General features: G+C 36.6%; 1 protein-coding gene across 26 annotated transcripts in view; it reads right to left on the reverse strand.

Annotated features, from left to right (window-relative positions):
- Nucleotides 1-19,378, reverse strand: part of IMMP2L (inner mitochondrial membrane peptidase subunit 2) — an 899,849-nt gene that overhangs the window by 613,252 nt on the left and 267,219 nt on the right. The gene's annotated exons all lie outside the window — the stretch shown is intronic.

Genomic DNA, 19,378 nt, shown 5'->3' on the forward strand with positions numbered 1-19,378 from the left:
CTGAAACTTTACTGAATCCATTGATCAATTCTAAGAGTTGTTCAGTGGAGTCTGCCGGGTTTTCTAGGTATAAGATCATATCATCAGCAAACAGGGATAATTTGACTTCCTCATTTCCAATTTAGATGCCTCTTATTTCTTAATACTTTCAACTTTTCCCCATTAAGTATAATGTCAGCTGTGGGTTTGTCTTATATTTTCTTTATTATGTTGAGATATGTCCTTCTAAGGCCTAGTCTTTTGAGGATATTTATCATGAAGGGGTGCTGAATTTTACTGAAGGAAATTTTTGCATCTATTGAGACGATCATATGGTTTTTGTCCTTAATTCTGTGTCTGTAATGTATCAGATTTACCAATTTACATATATCGAAGCATCCTTGCATCCTTGAGATAAATCCCACATGATCATGGTATATTAATCTCTTTGATGTGCTGTTGTGTTCTATTTGCTAGTATTTTGTTGAGGATTTTGTGTCTATGGTCATCAGAGATTTTGGTCTGCAGTTTTCTTTTATTGTTGTCTCCTTATCTGGCTTTGGGATGAGGTTGATGCTGGCCTCATAGAGTAAGTTAGGAAGAATTCCCTCCCCCTCAATTTTCTGGAATAGTTCCAAGAGGATTGGTATTAGTTCTTCTTTATTATTTGGTAGAATTCAGCTGTGATCCCATCTGATCCTGGGCTTTTACCAATGTCATTTTTCACAGAATTAGAAAAAAAAAATCCTAATATTCATGTGGAACCGAAAAAAAAAAAAAAAGCCAAAGTAATCCTAAGGGGAAAAAAAGCTAGCTGCATCACACTACCTGACTTCAAATTATATTACAAGGCTATAGCAACCAACAGAGTATGGGACTGATATTAAAATAGATACCAAGATGAATGGAACAGAATAGAGAACCCAGAAATGAAGCCACATACCTACAACCAGCTGATTTTCAACAAAGTCAACAAAAATATACACTGGGGAAAATGCCACCTTATTTAATAAATGGTGCTGGAAAAAATGAATAGCCACATGCAGAAGAATGACTGGACCCATACCTCCTTTCACCATCCACAAAAATTAAGATGGATTAAACACCTAAATGTAAGATCTGAAACTATGAAAATCCTAGAAGAAAACTTGGGAAAAACTCTTCCGGACATTGGCCTAGGCAAATACTTTATGACCAAGTTCTCAAAAGCAAAAGCGACAAAACTAAAAATAGACAAATAGGATTTAATTAAACTAAAAAGCTTCTGCACAACAAAAGGAACAATCAACAGAGTAAACAGACAGTCTATAGAATGGGAAAAAATATTTGCATTTGACAAAGGGCTAATATCCAGAACCTACAACGAACTCAAACAACTCTACAAGATAAAAAAAAAATTAAAAAGTGAGCAAAGGAATGAACATTTTCCAAAAGACGTACAAGCAGCCAACAAACACACACAAAAAAATGCTCAAAATCACTAATCATCAGAGAAATGCAAATTAAACCCACAATGAGATACCATTTTACACCAGTCAGAATGACTATTAAAAAGTCTAAAAACACTGTAATTCTGGCTATTCAGGTGGCTGAGGCACAAGAACTGTTTGAACCCAAGAGGCGGAGGTTGCAGTGAGCCGAGATTACTCCACCACACTCCAGCCTGAGACAGACAGGGACCTTGTCTCATTTAAAAAAAAAAAAAAAAAAGTCTGAAAACAACAGATGTTGGCAAAGATGCAGCAGAAAAGGGAACGCTTGTAGGAATTTCAGTACAACCTTTATGGAAAACAGAATGGAGATTACTCAAAGAACTAAAAATAGAACTACTATTCCATCCAGCAATCCCACTACTGGGTATCTACCCAAAGAGAAAGAAATCATTATATAAAAATGGTAACTGTAATTTGTGTGTTTATTGCAGCACTATTCACAATAGCAAAGCTATGGAATCGACCTAAGTGCCCATCAGCAGAAGACTGGATAAAGAAAATGTAGTATATGTAACACTACATTATGCTATTCAGCCATAAAAAAGAATAAAATCATGTCTTTTGCAGAAACATGGGTGGAACTGAAGGCCATTATCCTTAGTGAAATAACTTAGAAAGTCAAATACCACATGTTCTCACTTATAAGTGGGAGCTAAACAATGGGTACATATGGACCGTGGAGTAAAAGACACTGAAGACTATGAAAGGTGAGAGGATGGGAGAGGGGTGAGGGCTAAAAAGCCACCTGTTGAGTACAATACTCAATATTTGGGTGATGGGTACACTGAAAGCCCAGACTTCACCACTACACAACACATACATGTAAAAAACTTGCACTTGTATCCCCAAATATACAAACAAATAATTTCTTTGAAAAGTTTTAACATACACATTTACAGTGCTTCTCAACAATTTCTGCCCTATGGTATATAGAGAAAATTATACTCTTTATATGAGACATGAGTAAACATGGTTTGTATGTGCAGCTGGAGTGAACTAGCCTGGGGGCTCCAGCCACTCTCAAACTCTTCATCTCTTCTCCACTCCCAACAATTGTTTTTGTAAAATGACACACTTTTATTGTCAAAAAAACACAGTCAGATCAGATAGTTTTAAAAATGAATGTCACCATTTAGAGATAACCATTGTCAATGCTTCACTAAAACATCATTCCAGTTTCTCTCTACACATATACAGACACATCAGTTGCACACCCCAGTTGTGAAACTCAGTAATAAGGCATGATTTACACATATTTGTATTAACGCTCCAACTGAAGACTTTTTCATCTTTAAGCCCTGAAAGTGAGAAAGGAAAACCTAATAAAGTATGATCTTTTGTTAATAACATGTTTTATAATTTTCTAGCTCATATATATTGTTCTTGCTCTACCTTCCCCACATACACAAGTAATCTAGTTTTCTGTGATCAAAACTATTTCCTTGAAATCTACACCCAACTTGTACCCAGAAATTAGATTTAAAACTCTACCTCTAATCCAACTTTTAAGATATCTTGTTCTTAACAGAATTAGAAATATTCATTTTAATGGTTTCTAAGTCATCAGTTCTATGAGAATGAAATATTTTCCCAATCCTTAAGACATGAAACATGAAAAAAAAAATTTCAACCACCCAAATAATCCATAAAAATCAATTAACCTAAGTAGTCTATTGAGAGCAGGTCCTCTGTGCAGTTTTGATAATCACAGACATTGAAAAACATTATTGTATTTGATTTTACTTTTTATCTCCCAATAACAAATCTTATACAGCAGAGGCTATTTTATGGAAGTGATAAGGTTTACGCCAGATTTTCAAAATTGGGTAAAATGTATAAAACAGAAGAATAAAAGCAAAGTTGGAACTAATGTGGTCTTAGCCTGATTCAAAAAGCTCACTGTAATGGGTTGAATAGTGAACCCCCAAAATGATATGCCGAAGTGCCAACTTCCAGAAACTGTAAATATGACCTTATTTGGAAAAAGCTTTTTTGTAATTAACTTAGGATCTTGAGATAAGAGTACTGTGAATTAAGATGGGCCCTAATCCAAAGACAAGTCCGTTGAAGAGAAGGAGAAACAAACAGAAAGACAGAGAAGACCATGTGAAGACTGAGGCAGCAACTAAAAAGCTATTTCTACTAGCCAAAGGATGCCATCTTGAGATCCTAAGTGAATTACGAAAACCCTTTTTCTAAATATTATTGTCTCAATTTTACAGTTTTGTCATCTATGAAACTAAGGCAAGATTTCTCTGACTTGATATCACATAGGAAGGGACAAAGCAAAGATCTGAACTCAGGAAGTCGGGTGCAAAAACATGTGCTTTTAATTACTATATTATAACCTCTTTTGCTTGAAGAACAAAGTGGACCTTGGGGTGTAAAGGAAAATAAACAGACATATAAAGAGGCCAGGTTACAGAGACTTCAAAATACAAAGGATTTTGTCCATGATGCAGCATATAGAGAACAAACATTTCGGGCTTTTAATGCATTGCCCAGTTCATTGCATTGACTCCATCTCCAACCTCTATCTTGACCTATCCAGTTTTCTCCATCTTTAATGCTGACTAACCCACTAGTGTCAACCTTCTTAGTAGTCTCCTACTTCTACTCTTGCCTATTCAAACTATTCTCCACAAATAAGCCAGGATTTATCTATCTTTTAAAAACAAGTCAACTCACTCCTCTTAACACCATCAATGACTTCACAGGACTCTTGAAACAAAATAAAACTCCTTGCCATACTCTAGCAAGGCCCTAAATGATCTGGCTTTCCCTTCGACATCGTCTCATTATTCTCATCCATCATTATGTTTTAGCTGTCACAGCCTCCTTTCTGTTTTACAAGCATGCCAAGCTCTTCCCTATTCCCGGGACGTCACATTTGTTGTTCCCTCTGCATGAAGTCCTTTTTTCCCAGTTCCTGCATGGCTCATTCACATCCTTCAGGTCTCAGCTCACATAACATCTCCTCAGATGTCTTCACTCTTCACCTACCTAAGGTGGTCTCTTAAGTTATCCCAAGATTGTATTTATTACTACCAAAGCCCTTATCACAGTGTGAGAATATCCTTTATATACTTGTTTACTGCCTATCACAACACAGAACAGAAGGCCCAAGGAGGCAGAAACTTTGTCCAGCTTGTTCACCACAGAACCACTGTACCTAAAACAGTGGTTGGTACACATCAAACATTTTAGAAAACATTAGTGGCAAGCAAAAAAAGGAAATGTCATGATGAACTGGTCTTCCGAGAAACTTGGTCTAGGAAGTAACGTACAGGATGACTTCCCAAAAGCACAGACTAAAGAAACAGACAAATTAGGCGCCTCTTACTAAAAACTTAGTAATAAGTGTTTAAAGGCTTGGATAAGAACTGATTGAGTAAGAACAACAAAGAAAGGAGTGAAATTGGCCGGGTGCGGTGGCTCAGGCCTGTAATCCCAGGACTTTGGGAGGCCGAGGCAGGCAGATCACGAGGTCAGGAGATCGAGACCATCCTGTCTAACACGGTGAAACCCTGTCTCTACTAAAAATACAAAAAAATTAGCCAGGCGTGGTGGCAGGCGCCTGTAGTCCCAGCTACTTGGGAGGCTGAGGTAGGAGAATGGCGTGAACCCAGTAGGCAGAGCTTGCTGTGAGTGGAGATCACGCCACTGCACTCCAGCCTGGGCAACAGAGCGAGACTCTGAGAAAAGAAAGAAAGAAGGAAAGAGAGAGAAAGAGAGAAAGAGAGAAAGAGAGAAAGAGAGAAAGAGAGAAAGACAGAAAGACAGAAAGACAGAAAGAAAGAAAGAAAGAAAGAAAGAAAGAAAGAAAGAAAGAAAGAAAGAAAGAAAGAAAAAGAAAGAAAGAAAGAAAGAAAGAAAGAAGAGAGAGAGAGAAAGAGAGAGAGAAAGAAAGAGAAGGAAAGAAAGAAGGAAGGAAGGAAGGAAAGAAAGAAAGACAGAAAGAAAGGACTGAAATTTAGAAACTTGCAGAAGATAAAGGCAATAAAATTTAGTAACCCCTTAAATACATAGGATACAGAGACTAAAAAATGTGGCAAGTCAAGAAACTGTCACAAACCTCACAGCTTAGGTTACATGGAAGACTTCCATAGCATTTGAAGTCTATACTTTATATACTTCATAATTTAACCTTTATTTTATCCAACAGGACCAAACACTAAGTACCCAACAGAGACACTTGGGAGGCATAGTAAACTTCACAGAGGTGCCATCACCCAAGCTGACCCAAAAAATAACCAGTTATTTTTGTCAAAACTAAGAAGACATTAAATTATTACATCCACGTTTATCAGAAAATGTACCAACATTCTGTACACCAGCATTATATAAATGGGGGTACTCTGTTATAAGTCAAGGATAGGAAATGACATCAAGTGGCACCAAAAACAAACAAATTTGATTTCATACAGTGAAGAGACAGATCAGTCAGAGCAGTAAACAGCTCTTCTCTAAAGGTGACAGGGTACTGGAAAGAGACCACAGGAATGGTAGGACAACTAAGGTTGTTTTTATAGAAATCATGAAATGTTGTTAAGCTATAGCAATAAATGTAGCATAATTGTTGCTAAGTTATTTAGTATTATTTTCTTTTTTTAAAATACATTCAAGTGTACCATGAAAAATTTCAGTATTCAAAGCTGTGTCCAAAAGAGAAAATAATTGGGAATTGCTGACCTTCAATATTTCAAGCATTGTGCTAGGTAGTGGACAAATAAACATTAATAAAACATAGCCTCATAAAGCTTATAAGACTAATTGGCTATGATGGAAAACAAGCACACACATAAAAAAATTATAGAAAGAAGCGTGACAGATCAACTTCTGGCATGACAGTATGAGGATCTCCACTGTTCTGGTCTCCCGTGAAACTGGTTAAACAAATTTTTTAAGGCAAATGATCTTCAGAGCAGACAGCAAATGAAGAAATATCTGTTCTTACAAAAATGGAAATTCGGTAAGAAAGGGAAGAGTATGGTATTTGAACCAAGACTGCTCCCTTACTCCCCATTCCCAGTTCAGAAATAAAGAGGGAACTTTTGTAATGATAAAAGAGCCAATCAATCAGGAAGTTATAGAAATGATAAACATATATGCAGCCAATAATGATGCACTTAAATATTTGAAATAAAAACTGACAGAAATGAAGGGAGAAACAGATGATTCAACAATAATAGTTGGAAATTTAAATAACTCTTTTTTTGATTTTTTTTTTCTTTTTAAGACAGGGTCTCTCTGTCACCTAGGCTAGAGATCAGTGGTACAATCTCAGCTCACTGAAGCCTCAACCTCCCAGGCTCAGGCAATCCTCCCACCTCAACCTCCCAAGTAGCTGGGACCACAGGCGTGAGCCACAATGCTAAGCTAATTTTTGTGTGTTTTATAGAGACTGGGTTTCACCATGTTGGCCAGGCTGGTCTCAAATTCTTGGGCTAATATGATTCACCCCCTCGGCCTCCCTAAGTGCTGGGATTATAGGCATGAGACACCATGGCCTGGCCAATAACTCACTTTCAACATTGCATAGAACCACTAACTAGACAGAAGATCAACAAGGAAACAGGAGACTTGAACAATACTATAAACAACTAATCTAACAGACATCAGTAGAATACTCCATCCACAACACCTGAATATACATTATTTTCAAGCACATGTGGAACACTGCTCCAGGACAGATCATATTCTAGGCCATAAAAAAACCTCAATGAATTAAAAGGATAAAAATAATATATGTTCTCTGATCACAATAGAATAAAATTAGACATCAATAACAGGAAAAATGTGGAAAAATCATAAATAGGTAGAAATTAACCTACTCCTATGTAACCAATGGGTCAAAGAAGAAATCAAAAGGGGAATCAGAAGAAAAACAATTACAGAACATTGTGGTAAATGCAAGAATGGGAGCTAGCAAGGAGCTAAATGTGCATATAGAGTTGACACTAATTCTACCTAGGAAAATGCAAGAAAGAAGAAAACTACAGAACAGAGGAAGTAACATTTAGGCAGGTCTTGAAAGATGAATATGAATTTATGTGGCAAAGACAGGGAGAAAGAAAATGAAAAACATGGAAGCAGCTTCCCAAAGCAGGGAGGTGTTGAAGTGAATGATAAAATCTGAAATGATGAGCAGTTAGGAGTGGCTAGCATGTAGGGTATGTGGTAGGAGAATGGCAGTCGAGGAAGACGAGCTGGAAAAAGAGGTTAGGGCCAGATTGTTAATAAACAAGAACACTACTCCAAGGGGCCTGGGCTTTACTTTGGGTAACAAGACATCATTAAAGTTGTAAAAAGAGACATGATTGGCCGGGCGCGGTGGCTCACGCCTGTAATCCCAGCACTTTGGGAGGCCGAGGCGGGCGGATCACGAGGTCAGGAGATCGAGACCATCCCGGCTAAAACGGTGAAACCCCGTCTCTACTAAAAATACAAAAAATTAGCCGGGCGTAGTGGCGGGCGCCTGTAGTCCCAGCTACTTGGGAGGCTGAGGCAGGAGAATGGCGTGAACCCGGGAGGCGGAGCTTGCAGTGAGCCGAGATCCCGCCACTGCACTCCAGCCTGGGCGACAGAGCGAGACTCCGTCTCAAAAAAAAAAAAAAAAAAAAAAAGAGACATGATCAGATTTGCATTTCATATCATATTCTATGTCACAGTACTCATGTATATTACCATTTTCTCCTCAGTATATATAACAAAAGTTTTTCAAGACAGGTAAAATACCCTGTAGTTCTCATGGCTCTGCCACAGTTACGGGCTCAATGCTGGGAACACTGCAGCCATCTAAAAAAAACAGTTACTTTTTCACTGCACTAATAGTACAAAACTTCTAGATATATTTTGCTCATAAACTGAAGAACTGTTCTTTTGTTTGCAAATTCAGTTAGCCTTGCTGACTATTCAATATAACTGAAAAAAATCATAACTTGTGTTTCCATAGCTTTTAATGTCACTGAAAGAAGCCTTAACATCCTCTTCTCCTTCATTACTACATTACTACAGCCACCCATTGTGGCAGTTAGACAAACGAAGCCAGCATTTGGAGAGAGGGAGTAGGACTGAGAAATTGGCCAAGAAAAAAAAAATGTATTTAGTTCATGGAAAGGAAACTTGAAGGGAAATCCATGATTCTTAGAAGTGGAAGAGTTTAGGGAGGAATGTTTGGGAAAACCGTAGTGCTGACAATGACTTTGCTTAAGGGTAGCAAGAGTGAAGAGGAAAGACAGGTCAGTAGAGTTCAGAATGACTATAAGCCCGGGGCTTTAAAAATTTCACAAATAAGAAAGGTTGCAGGCACTGAGAGCAAAAAGAAAACTGGATGAAGTGTTGCCATAGAGGAAAGAAATCCAGAGTGAAATCTCTAGCTCAGCTATGACAATGTACTCTGTGAGCAATGAAAGTTCAAGGGGTTTTTGGAATACTACAAAACTATCCATCTTTATGGTGGACAAAAAGTTGCAAATACAGGAAAACACACTCACTCTACCAGGCATTGGAGAAAGTAGAACAAAATGCAGATCTGGCCACCTAGGAGCTCAAATCTAATGAAAAGGGAGAAATGCAAATTAATATGTGCCATCAGTGAAACAAGGACTGATGAGGCTGTTTGTCTACAGCCATGAGCCACAGGGTGGAGTGACTGTGCTGAGGGTAAGGAAGAGCTTCTCAGATGAATGAGAGGATCATGGAGAATGGAAAGGAGTTTGCACCGACAGCATCACATAATAAAGGCCTTGCAAAGAGAGGATATAGCTTACCCTATGACATGAAACAGTGTGGCATATGAGGAGGAAATGAAGGAACACAAGGCAGGAAAGGCCATCAGGATGCAATTACAGAGGGCTTTTAGTACAATGTAACAGCCTAACAAACGACCTCAAAATCGTATGATCATCTAAGCAGGACACCCTGTGAGGAAAACAAAAACAAAAATAATCAGAAATCATCATTTACAAAATAATTAGCAATGTTTCCTTGGGAAAGACCTGATTGAACAGAGAAAAGCCTTTAAAATGATCAGAAAATGAAGGGAAGAGGCAACACTAAAGTTTTCAAGTTTGGACTGAAGTCTATGAAATCATGATATCATTAAGGGCGTATTCTCTAAATTTCAGAACACTAGCTTAAAGGGGAATCATTGAAACTTAAGGGAGAAAAAAAGCAATTCAGAATCATACAAGAATTACATAAATGCTCATGCAATTCAATTTTCAGTGCTAAGAACAGACTTCCCCAAAGCAGTATTCCCCTGGTCAAATCCTCTAGACCCTCACCAATCAGAATTCATTTCTCCCTCCTCAAGACTTCCACAGCATATGATAGCACTTAACACAGTCTTTCTTGTGTCTCTCCAACTGTAAGTCAATTTCCTGAGGCTAGAGACCACACTTAATTCATATTTGTATACCCAACAGTATCTAGATTCAATAAATGCATATTTATGTACTGCAAAATATTCACAGGGATACTATTAAATACAAAGTAATGTGCTTAATACTTCTGCATGATAAAGAATGAGAGACAACAATAACCCTGAAAGTCCTCATATCTGGTAGGGGGGTTATGTATGAAAACCAGTCACTATAATCCAAAACCAAGGAAGAAGGTTCAATCAAAGCTTACACTTGTAGGTTGTTATGTTGTTTTTCATTCATTACCTACAGGATTCCAAAAGGATTTTTGATAGCTTACAGAAGTACATACAGTATAACACTAAAAAGACTAATTATTGAGAAGGCACACATAAAGAAAAAATAATAAGAGAAGAAGATGGAGTCAGGACAGTTCACGAAAAGTTTAACAGAAGTACAGTTAGAGATGCACTTGGCATCAAAACCAACAGTTAGAAGATTCTCAGCAACAGTTGCTCAGGAGAAGTTTAGCTATTCCTGACACTGGGACAGGACAGTTAAGAACTTTCTCCTATGGTTGTTCATAAGACAAAGACTATGTAATATATGGACCATCTCCTTAAGCATTCCACCACGATCAACGCAATAATGACTTAACTGAGATTGCGTATTAATGACCCTCAATCTGTCAATGATTACACCACACTACCACTCAGTAAAAGCAATTCTCAAAGGGCCAAAACTCTACGATGATGTGGCTTGAATTAAAAGAAAAGGTCTACTCCCTAGCAGAATGAACGGATTACATATTCCTCAGAAATATTATGCAAATATTATCATAGAGACCGTTTTGATAAGGACAAAGTGGCATAGAGTTTGAGATTGTGGTCTCCGAGAAAAAACAGGAATATAAATATTCTCTGTTGTCAATTAAGGGCATATTGAACTTAGAGAATTAGCAGATTAACAACCAGGTTTGCATTACTTCATGAAAACAAAACAGCAGCATGTGGAGAGTACCCCACTCCTAAGCAAAGGAAGGCCATGATTTCTCTCAGAAAATGGTCATGGATCCTCTTTAACACACCCATCAGTGGGTGACTGAGGTCCCAGAGATGTAGAGCCTAGTCAGAATGATTTAGGGATACACACTTTCCAAGGCAGGCATTCCCAATCACCATGCTGTAAAAGAAAACATTTGATAAGACACCCTTAGAATAATTCAAATTAGGCAATGTTTCAAGATAAACTGGCTGCAAAATGTGCTCTCCCTAGAGAAGTGAGATGACTTGCTCCATGGGGTTGTTACTATGAACCATAAAATATCAGAGGATCTCTGCAATTGATTTTAGAGAAGGTGCTATGAAACCATTCTTACAGCCAATAATTAGATATCAGAAACAATGTTCTTTAAAGCCCACCTCAATCCTGTCTGTGGTAATAAATTAATGATACCAGCATAAGAAACAACCTTACTTTTCTCTACATGGGAAGAAAAATAAGAAGGAGCATATATCCTGCTCACTTAAGTGTGCCAAGCCATTACGATACAAAATGAATCTCTAAACGTACATATTCCTGCTTTACCTGCTCAGAAGTATTTACTAAGCAATCAGGAAAACATCTGCAAACCCTGATTTTGACTGTGGTATTAAGCATCATAACTGCTACGTAAAGCCACCATAAAGGCTTTTGTATTAAACACCATAACTGATTTGTAAAGGCACCATGGATGGAGGGCAAAGGATGGCACTAATATCATGGATACAGATGTAACTTACAGTCTTTTGTTCCACAAAATCAAGAATCCACACCAAAAAAAAAAAATAAACAAACAAAATATACTTTAAATTGGCAATATTTTTCTCAAGGTATTGAGTATGAAAATGGCTACGTCGGCTTGCTAGTTTTGTTCAAAGTTGTTATGAAATTAAAAACTGCCATACATTCTGATTCGGGCCCAGAGTTGGAGGGAATTGATGATTATCCAATAAAAAATGTATATAAGTCTAATTACAGAGAACTAGAAATGTAAAGCCAAAAAGACAGCCCTTTGAAATAGCCCTCAAGCAGTTTCACAGACAGGAGAACTTCCACGGACTCCCTTCTGCATGATGGATAGTTGGACCAACAGAAAGAAATATTGGAGTCTATAAAGTTTGCAGCATTTAATCTTGCTTCATAAAGCTGGAAAATATAATCTATCCAAATTCCAATCAAAGAGAATCTGGGTTTCCATAAGCTCAATAATGAAATGCCTTGCATAGGTAAACATCAAAAATTACCAACATTACATTTCTAAGAGTCACATGACGATTCTCTTGTAATTTATTACAGATTTTTTTTGGCTGGTTTTCGTTCTTACTGTTGTTTCCAATGCACTAAGATATATGTTAAACAATGTGCTATGAGAGTTTCAAAGACAGCAGAGATCACATTCAATTGTAGATATGCAGCCATAAGCAGGAATAAAGATGTGGTCAAAGGGAAGAGATATTCTATGAAAGAAATTCGTATTTGGTGGATTTAGGTTATTTGTTAATAAAATTAACTCAAGATGGATTAAAGACTTAAACCTAAGACCTAAAACCATAAAAACCCTAGAAGAAAATCTAGGCAATGCCATTCAGGACACAGGAATGGGAAAAGACTTCATGACTAAAACACCAAAAGCAATGGCAACAAAAGCCAAAACTGGCAAATGGGATCTGATTAAACTAAAGAGCTTCTGCACAGAAAAAGAATGAACAGGCAACCTACAGAATGGGAGAAAAATTTTGCAATCTATCCATCTGACAAAGGGCTAATATCCAGAATCTACAAAGAACTTAAACAAATTTACCAGAAAAAACAACCCCATCAAAAAGTGGGCGAAGGGTATGAACAGACACTTCTCAAAAGAAGACATTTATGCAGCCAACAAACATGAAAAAAAGTTCATCATCACTGGTCGTTAGAGAAATGAAAATGAAAACCACAATGAGATACCATCTCACTCCAGTTAGAATGGCAATCAATAAAAAGTCAGGAAACAACAGATGCTGGAGAGGATGTGGAGAAATAGGAACGCTTTTACACTGTTGGTGGGAGTGTAAATTAGTTCAACTATTGTGGAACACAGTGTGGCGACTCCTCAAAGATGTAGAACCAGAAATACCATTTGACCCAGCCATCCCATTACTAGGCATATACCCAAAAGATTGTAAATCATTCTACTAGAAAGACACAGGCACACATATGTTTATTGCGGCACTGTTGACAATAGCAAAGACTTGGAACCAACCCAAATGCCCATCAATGATAGACTGGATAAAGAAAATGTGGCACATATACACCATGAAATACTATGCAGCCATAAAAAAGGATGAGTTCGTGTCCTTTGCAAGGACATGGATGACACTGGAAACCATCATTCTCAGCAAACTAACACAACAACAGAAAACCAAACACCACATGTTCTCACTCATAAGTGGGAGCTGATCAATGAGAACACATGGACACAGGAAGGGGAACATCACACATGGGGGCTTGTCAGGGGGTTGGGGGGCTAGGGAAGGGACAGCATTAGGATAAATACCTAATGTAGATGATGGGTTGATGTGTGCAACAAACCACCATGGTATGTGTACACCTAGGTAACAAACCTGCACATTCTGCATATGTACCCCAGAACTTAAAGTATAATTAAAAAAAAAAAAAGCCTGGAAAGACAAGTTGGTGGCAAATTCTGAATGATCTTGAATGCTATGGTAAGATTTAGTGCTTAATTTGTAAGGTAATCGTTATCATGATGAACTGAACCTGGACCTGAAATTATAATGAGCAAATTATCTCAAGTTATTCTTTCTGTCGCTTCAAAGGGATATATAAATCAAAAGGCCAATTCTGAAAATTTTAGGAAAGAGATCCAAGCTATTTTGTAGACCCAGAAATAAACTTTATACCTACTGTTCTATTTTGTTTTGTTTTGTTTTGTTTTTTAAGATGGAGTCTCACTCTGCCACCCAGGCTGGAGTGCAGTGGCGCGATCTCGGCTCTGCCTCCCCAGCTCAAACTTTTCTCCAGCCTCAGTATACCTACTGTTCTTATGCTTGGTTGTTGTGTTTTAAGCCTTCTGTGACCTCACGGAAATTTTGATGTTGACACAGCTCCAGGTTTTACATAAATTTAAAGGCCATTTGAATTGGAATTTGATTAATGAACATAAAACCTAGTAGTGAAGTTAACACTCTCTTAACATCCCCACCACAAAAGCAAAGCCTTGAATTGAGTCTCACTCTATTCAAATCACTCACATTCTTATTGCAAATTTCAAACCTACTTATTATCTGGTAGTGTCTTCTCCCCAGTCTGCCACTGCACATAGAAAAGAAGGACATAGTTTAATTGCTTCCCATGCTCACAGCAGTAAGTCCACATCATTCTTAATTTTGTTTTATAAGAGTTTTTCTTCAAATACAAACATCATGCTATTGATCCACCATTAGGTATCATGTGCATTAAGTGGATTTCCTGGGAGTGGGGCTGTTGAATCCTTTCATACTCCATTGCCTATCACCCTTTACAAAAATCCCTCACTGTGCAACACATAATATGAGGAATAAGAAAAATTAGGAGAAATATTCTAAATATATAGAAGAAGGTAAATAGACTGCCTATATACTTGGTAAATTCTGATCATATTTGTATATTCGTTGGAATGTTTTAAATGCCTTCAGATGTAATTTTAAAATATAATCTGTGTTTATTTAAGCATGATTGACTTCTTTTTAAAAAAAAAAAAAATGAATGATTTAAATCCTACAGACCCTACTTATGTCAGAGGTCAGCAACCTTGTAGAAGTAGTGTGTGCCAAGCTGCCAGTTCCTATTTCTGTCAAGCAAGGGAGAAAAGAAGCAGAAGCCCAAAATAGGCAACTGAGAAATATCTGTGATACACAGATATGTGAGGCCTTTCTGATGAATCTATTGCAAATTGAACTTTTGACCCTGTATAAATCCCCTTTTTGTGCTTCATGTTTTCTGATTGCACTTATCACTATTTAATACTCTGTCTCTCTTTCTCTCTCTCTCTCACTATATATATATATACAAACACACACACACACACACACACACACACACATATATATATATCTAATTTTCTATCCACCTCCCAACTAGAATGCAAGCTCCAAAACAGTAGAGATTTTTGTCTGCTTTATATTCACTATACCTAGAATAATGCCTGGCACCTAGCAGGATTTCTGTAAATATTTGTGGGAGGAAAGAAGGAAGTGTGTTCAAATAAAGATCCTATAGAAGTTCTTCATGTGCATTTCATACCTTACTATGTGACTTTAATTAGAAACCACTCCCTCCCTTAAAATCCAAATGAGGCCAGCTGCTTAAGAAATGGATATCATTTCTAGATAAAAAGAGGCAGTGGAAAGACACAGATAGTATCTTGCAATTTGGGGTGATTCAATCAGAAAAGATCTTTTGAGGGAAAAAAAAAGTTCAACAAGAAACACCAAGAAGCCTTTGCAGAAGACCAGTGGTTGCAGCAGCAGCTCCCATCATCTAAATGTCTTCTTTTTCAAAGGGCAGGGCCCTCCTGGGCGATGGCCCACAAACATCTCACAGAGTCCCTAAGGAGTTCTACCAAACTGAATGAGTCTCCTAATTACAACATTAAAATACCTACCATCCAGTCTTACTTTTGACAGATGTCCTTGTACTTTTACAGAGCTTAGAGTGAAAGCATCTAAAAAAATGTTTACCTTTAACCTGGTATAAGGAGTAATGTACCTTTTTTCTTCCTTCAGTTTAAAATCCATTCCACCAAAACCTGGCCGTCTACACACAAAATATAATGATGGTTATCAGGGGCCACAGGAAAAGGATGAGAAAAATGGTGATTAAAGGGTACAAAATTTCAGTTAGAGGGAATAAGCCTTAGTGATCTGATGCAAAATGGTGACTATAATAAATAATAATGCATTGCATATTTCAAAATTACTAAAAAGGTAGATTTCAAATGTTTTCACCACAAAAAAATGACAAGTATATTAGAGGAAGGATTTGTTAATTAACAGATTTAATCATTCCACATTGTAAACATGTATCAAAACATAATATTGTACCCATAAATATGTACAGTTATCTGTCCATTGAAAATAAAACTAAAACAAAACAAAAAGGCTTTGCTAAAGGAATCTCCACAAGCTTCCAAGGATATTTGAAAAGTTCTACCTAAATCACTACTGTGGTGATTTAAGCTCTTTCTTGCCTGTCCCCCTGCAGTGAAGAAAGAACAGCTGCTCATCATCACTCATATAATATCTCTTCACACACAGTGAAACCAAGAAAACAACCATATTCAAAAATGCCTGTCAAAAGACAATCGTCCTGGGAACCACTCATGGCCTCTGTGTCTATGATTTCACTGAACTTGAAGACTGTAATTAAGTCCCTATTCAGACTTCACTTCTCTAGGCTAAATAAACCCAATCCTTTAGACTTTCATCACATAGCAGATTTCTCAAACCTTTTAATAATTTCTGTTGGATTCCTCTGGATTCTCTCCAAATTCTACATAATAAAATCATGACCAGGGCTTCAGGAGAAAAAGGGAATTGCCTGGCAGCCTCTTAATGTTATCCTCTTACATTTGTACAGTTTGTTTTTCCTCCCTATGTGAATTACCCTGCACACATTTCTACAGAGCTATATTCAGTAGATGTAAATGTACTCAGTTTACATGTACTAGTTCTTCCAACTTGCCATGATTTTTTTTTTGAAGTGTAATCCTCTTTTTGTTTTCCAGAGTACTGGCATCCTAGCCTGGTTCAAAGAAATTGACATATTATGTGTCACTAATGAAAAGGAAAAACATCAGGCTAAAGACTGTCATCTAGAGAGTATTATTCAGAATCTACTTCCACAAACTTCCCAGGGTGGGCCAGGTGGGTTTAGATTTCAACTCTGCCATTTACTAGTTTCAGGACTGTGGCAAATATTGAACATTTTTTGGAGAATAATAATGCCTACTTCCCAGGGTTATCATGAAAAATGAATTGAGTTAATAATGGAAAGAATATGGCAGAGTGATACGTGCTCTGCATAATACTATATATATTCATTATTTTATCTTCTTTATGGAACAACCATTATAACCACTTTGAACTACTTTCACAGCACAATGGTAAAGGCCAAGAGAGCTCATTCCTCTATAGAATGAAACTCAATATGAAGGATGAAAGGCTGGTCAAAATAATAAGTCAAAAGACTTAACTCTTAGCATATACCTCACCATCCTGCTTTTCAGTCAGAGCAGCAGCAAGGACATGAGATATAAGCAATGGTGTACACCTAAGAAGTGCAGGGAAACTCAAAAAATGATAACCCAGTATGAGCAAAATAAACTTAGAAACCAAACCCCTGAATTCGGCTCTTTCCCCAGTGTATTGATTGAGCATTAGACCAAAAGACTGATCAGGTATAAATTTAGTATTTTATTTTAGAAAAGAATAGCTTACTGCTCCAAAGATAATCAAAATATTAATCCTTTTCACTTTTTGTGAGAGCAATTTTTGATTCTAATGTTTTTAAAAGGCATATAGGTTTCAATATAAAGAAGCTACATATTATTTCAAATGAAAAACAAGATGAAAATCCTAAGTAGAACAGGGCAAAAAATTAATAATGTATTTTTTTCAACGACTTTCCTGACATTTGACCTCTTGGTGGGGAGTCTACGCAGCTAGCAAACCAAATACGTACCTCCTTCACAAAACTACTATAAAAATATAACTACTGTTTGACAAAGCACTTACGGATATGCTTCAAAATTGCTGATTGACAAGGATATAATATTATCTGTAGTTTTAAAATATTTTTAACAATGTGGTTCAAAAAACTTTCCATGTATTAGATTCTATGTAATGTAATCTTAGCAGAGAGAAGTCACATTCACAACGTGAATAAATAAGAGGAGAGCTAACATGCAATTTCTTCCATACACCAGGTGCTCTGCTAAACACCTTATACACCTTATCTCATTTAATCCTCAGAACACTTTACCACAAGTGAATGGGGAAATTGAAGCTTAGAGAAGGTAAATAACTGTTCAGTGTAACAAATTAAGAATGATACTCAGGAATACATAAATCAAGATATAGATTTCAACCCAACCCTATTCTGATCATGCAATCAAGTTAGTAGGTCATCACTAGCATTTATTTTAATAGGATATTAATAGAACAGAGAAAGACCATAAATAGTAAAACAGAATAAACTTCTTTGAAAGTCACTGCTCTAAACCACTGCTATATTAGAAGCAACTAAACATCAAAGAAACATTAATCTTAAAAGCATTCAAGAATATTCAGAGATCATTTACCCTTACCATTTCACTTTACAGATGAAGAAACTTAAAGTTTGGGTTATTTTCTTTACCCATAGTCATATGGCTAGTTGGTGGCAAAATCAGAACAAGAGCCCAGGGCTAACAAAAGTATATTGATTTGAGAGATGTATTATAAGGCATAATTTACTTTGAGTTAAACAGATTTTTCTCAATAATTACACCAGGAACATGGGCATAAACCTAAACTGTCTCAGGAAAACCAGAATGAGCAGTATATAGCTCTAGAAATTAACCAAAACTTGTCAAACAAAAGTAAACATGGTGAGAAAAATGATCGTTCAATGGAAGTTTTTTCAAAACAATGTAGTTTTAATTTACATACAGAGCTATAAGTAAAAATAACCCTTATATCTAGGCTGTAATTCTTTTTCCGTGTTTTAATGTTTACATAATTTAAACACGAATCTATCAGTGAAACAAGAAGAAAAGATTATAAATTTTGAGCAACCGTGGCAACAAAACCATCAGGACCTTGTCAATGACTCACAATGATTTCCTAGTATTTTCCAGTGTTGATACCAAAACTGGCAAGGACAGATTCAAACTAAATTGCTGATACTGTGAAATAATGCTCACCAGATGCAAGCGCCATGTAATGCAAGTGACAGTTTCTATAAATATAATTCATAACTAATATTAATTTTCAAAGGACTTAGCAAAAACTAAAAAAAGAAATATTTTATTTTCATATGTAATTTTCTCAGTCAGTATTTCAGAGTGAAGATTAGTATGGGTATTTCTTACCCCAGCTAAGTATAATGTAGCAATAAATGGACTTTTCAATAACTGAGAAGAAAACTAATATTTTAGCCTATGAAATCATTATGTAAATTTAACTGGCTTATACTGCAGCCCTTATGACTTGAAACATCTGTTCGATACAAGTTTTCTGATAATATGTGAAGTTTCAAACTGCATATTACAGCATTTTGCAGCATATTTGTAACATGATGGTTTTGTCCTTTACTAGATAGGAGACTTTCAAGGTGTGACCTGTAACAAGGTACTGAAGTTACTACTTACTTCACCATCTGCTCATATGTATTTTCATCTAAAATTACATAGCATTCATAACTATATTAGAAAACTGTCTTCACACAATTTGGCACTTAATTTTATGTGTTGATATA

The sequence above is a fragment of the Homo sapiens genome, chromosome 7, assembly GCF_000001405.40.
Source record: "Homo sapiens chromosome 7, GRCh38.p14 Primary Assembly".
Classification (NCBI taxonomy): Eukaryota; Metazoa; Chordata; class Mammalia; order Primates; family Hominidae; genus Homo; species Homo sapiens.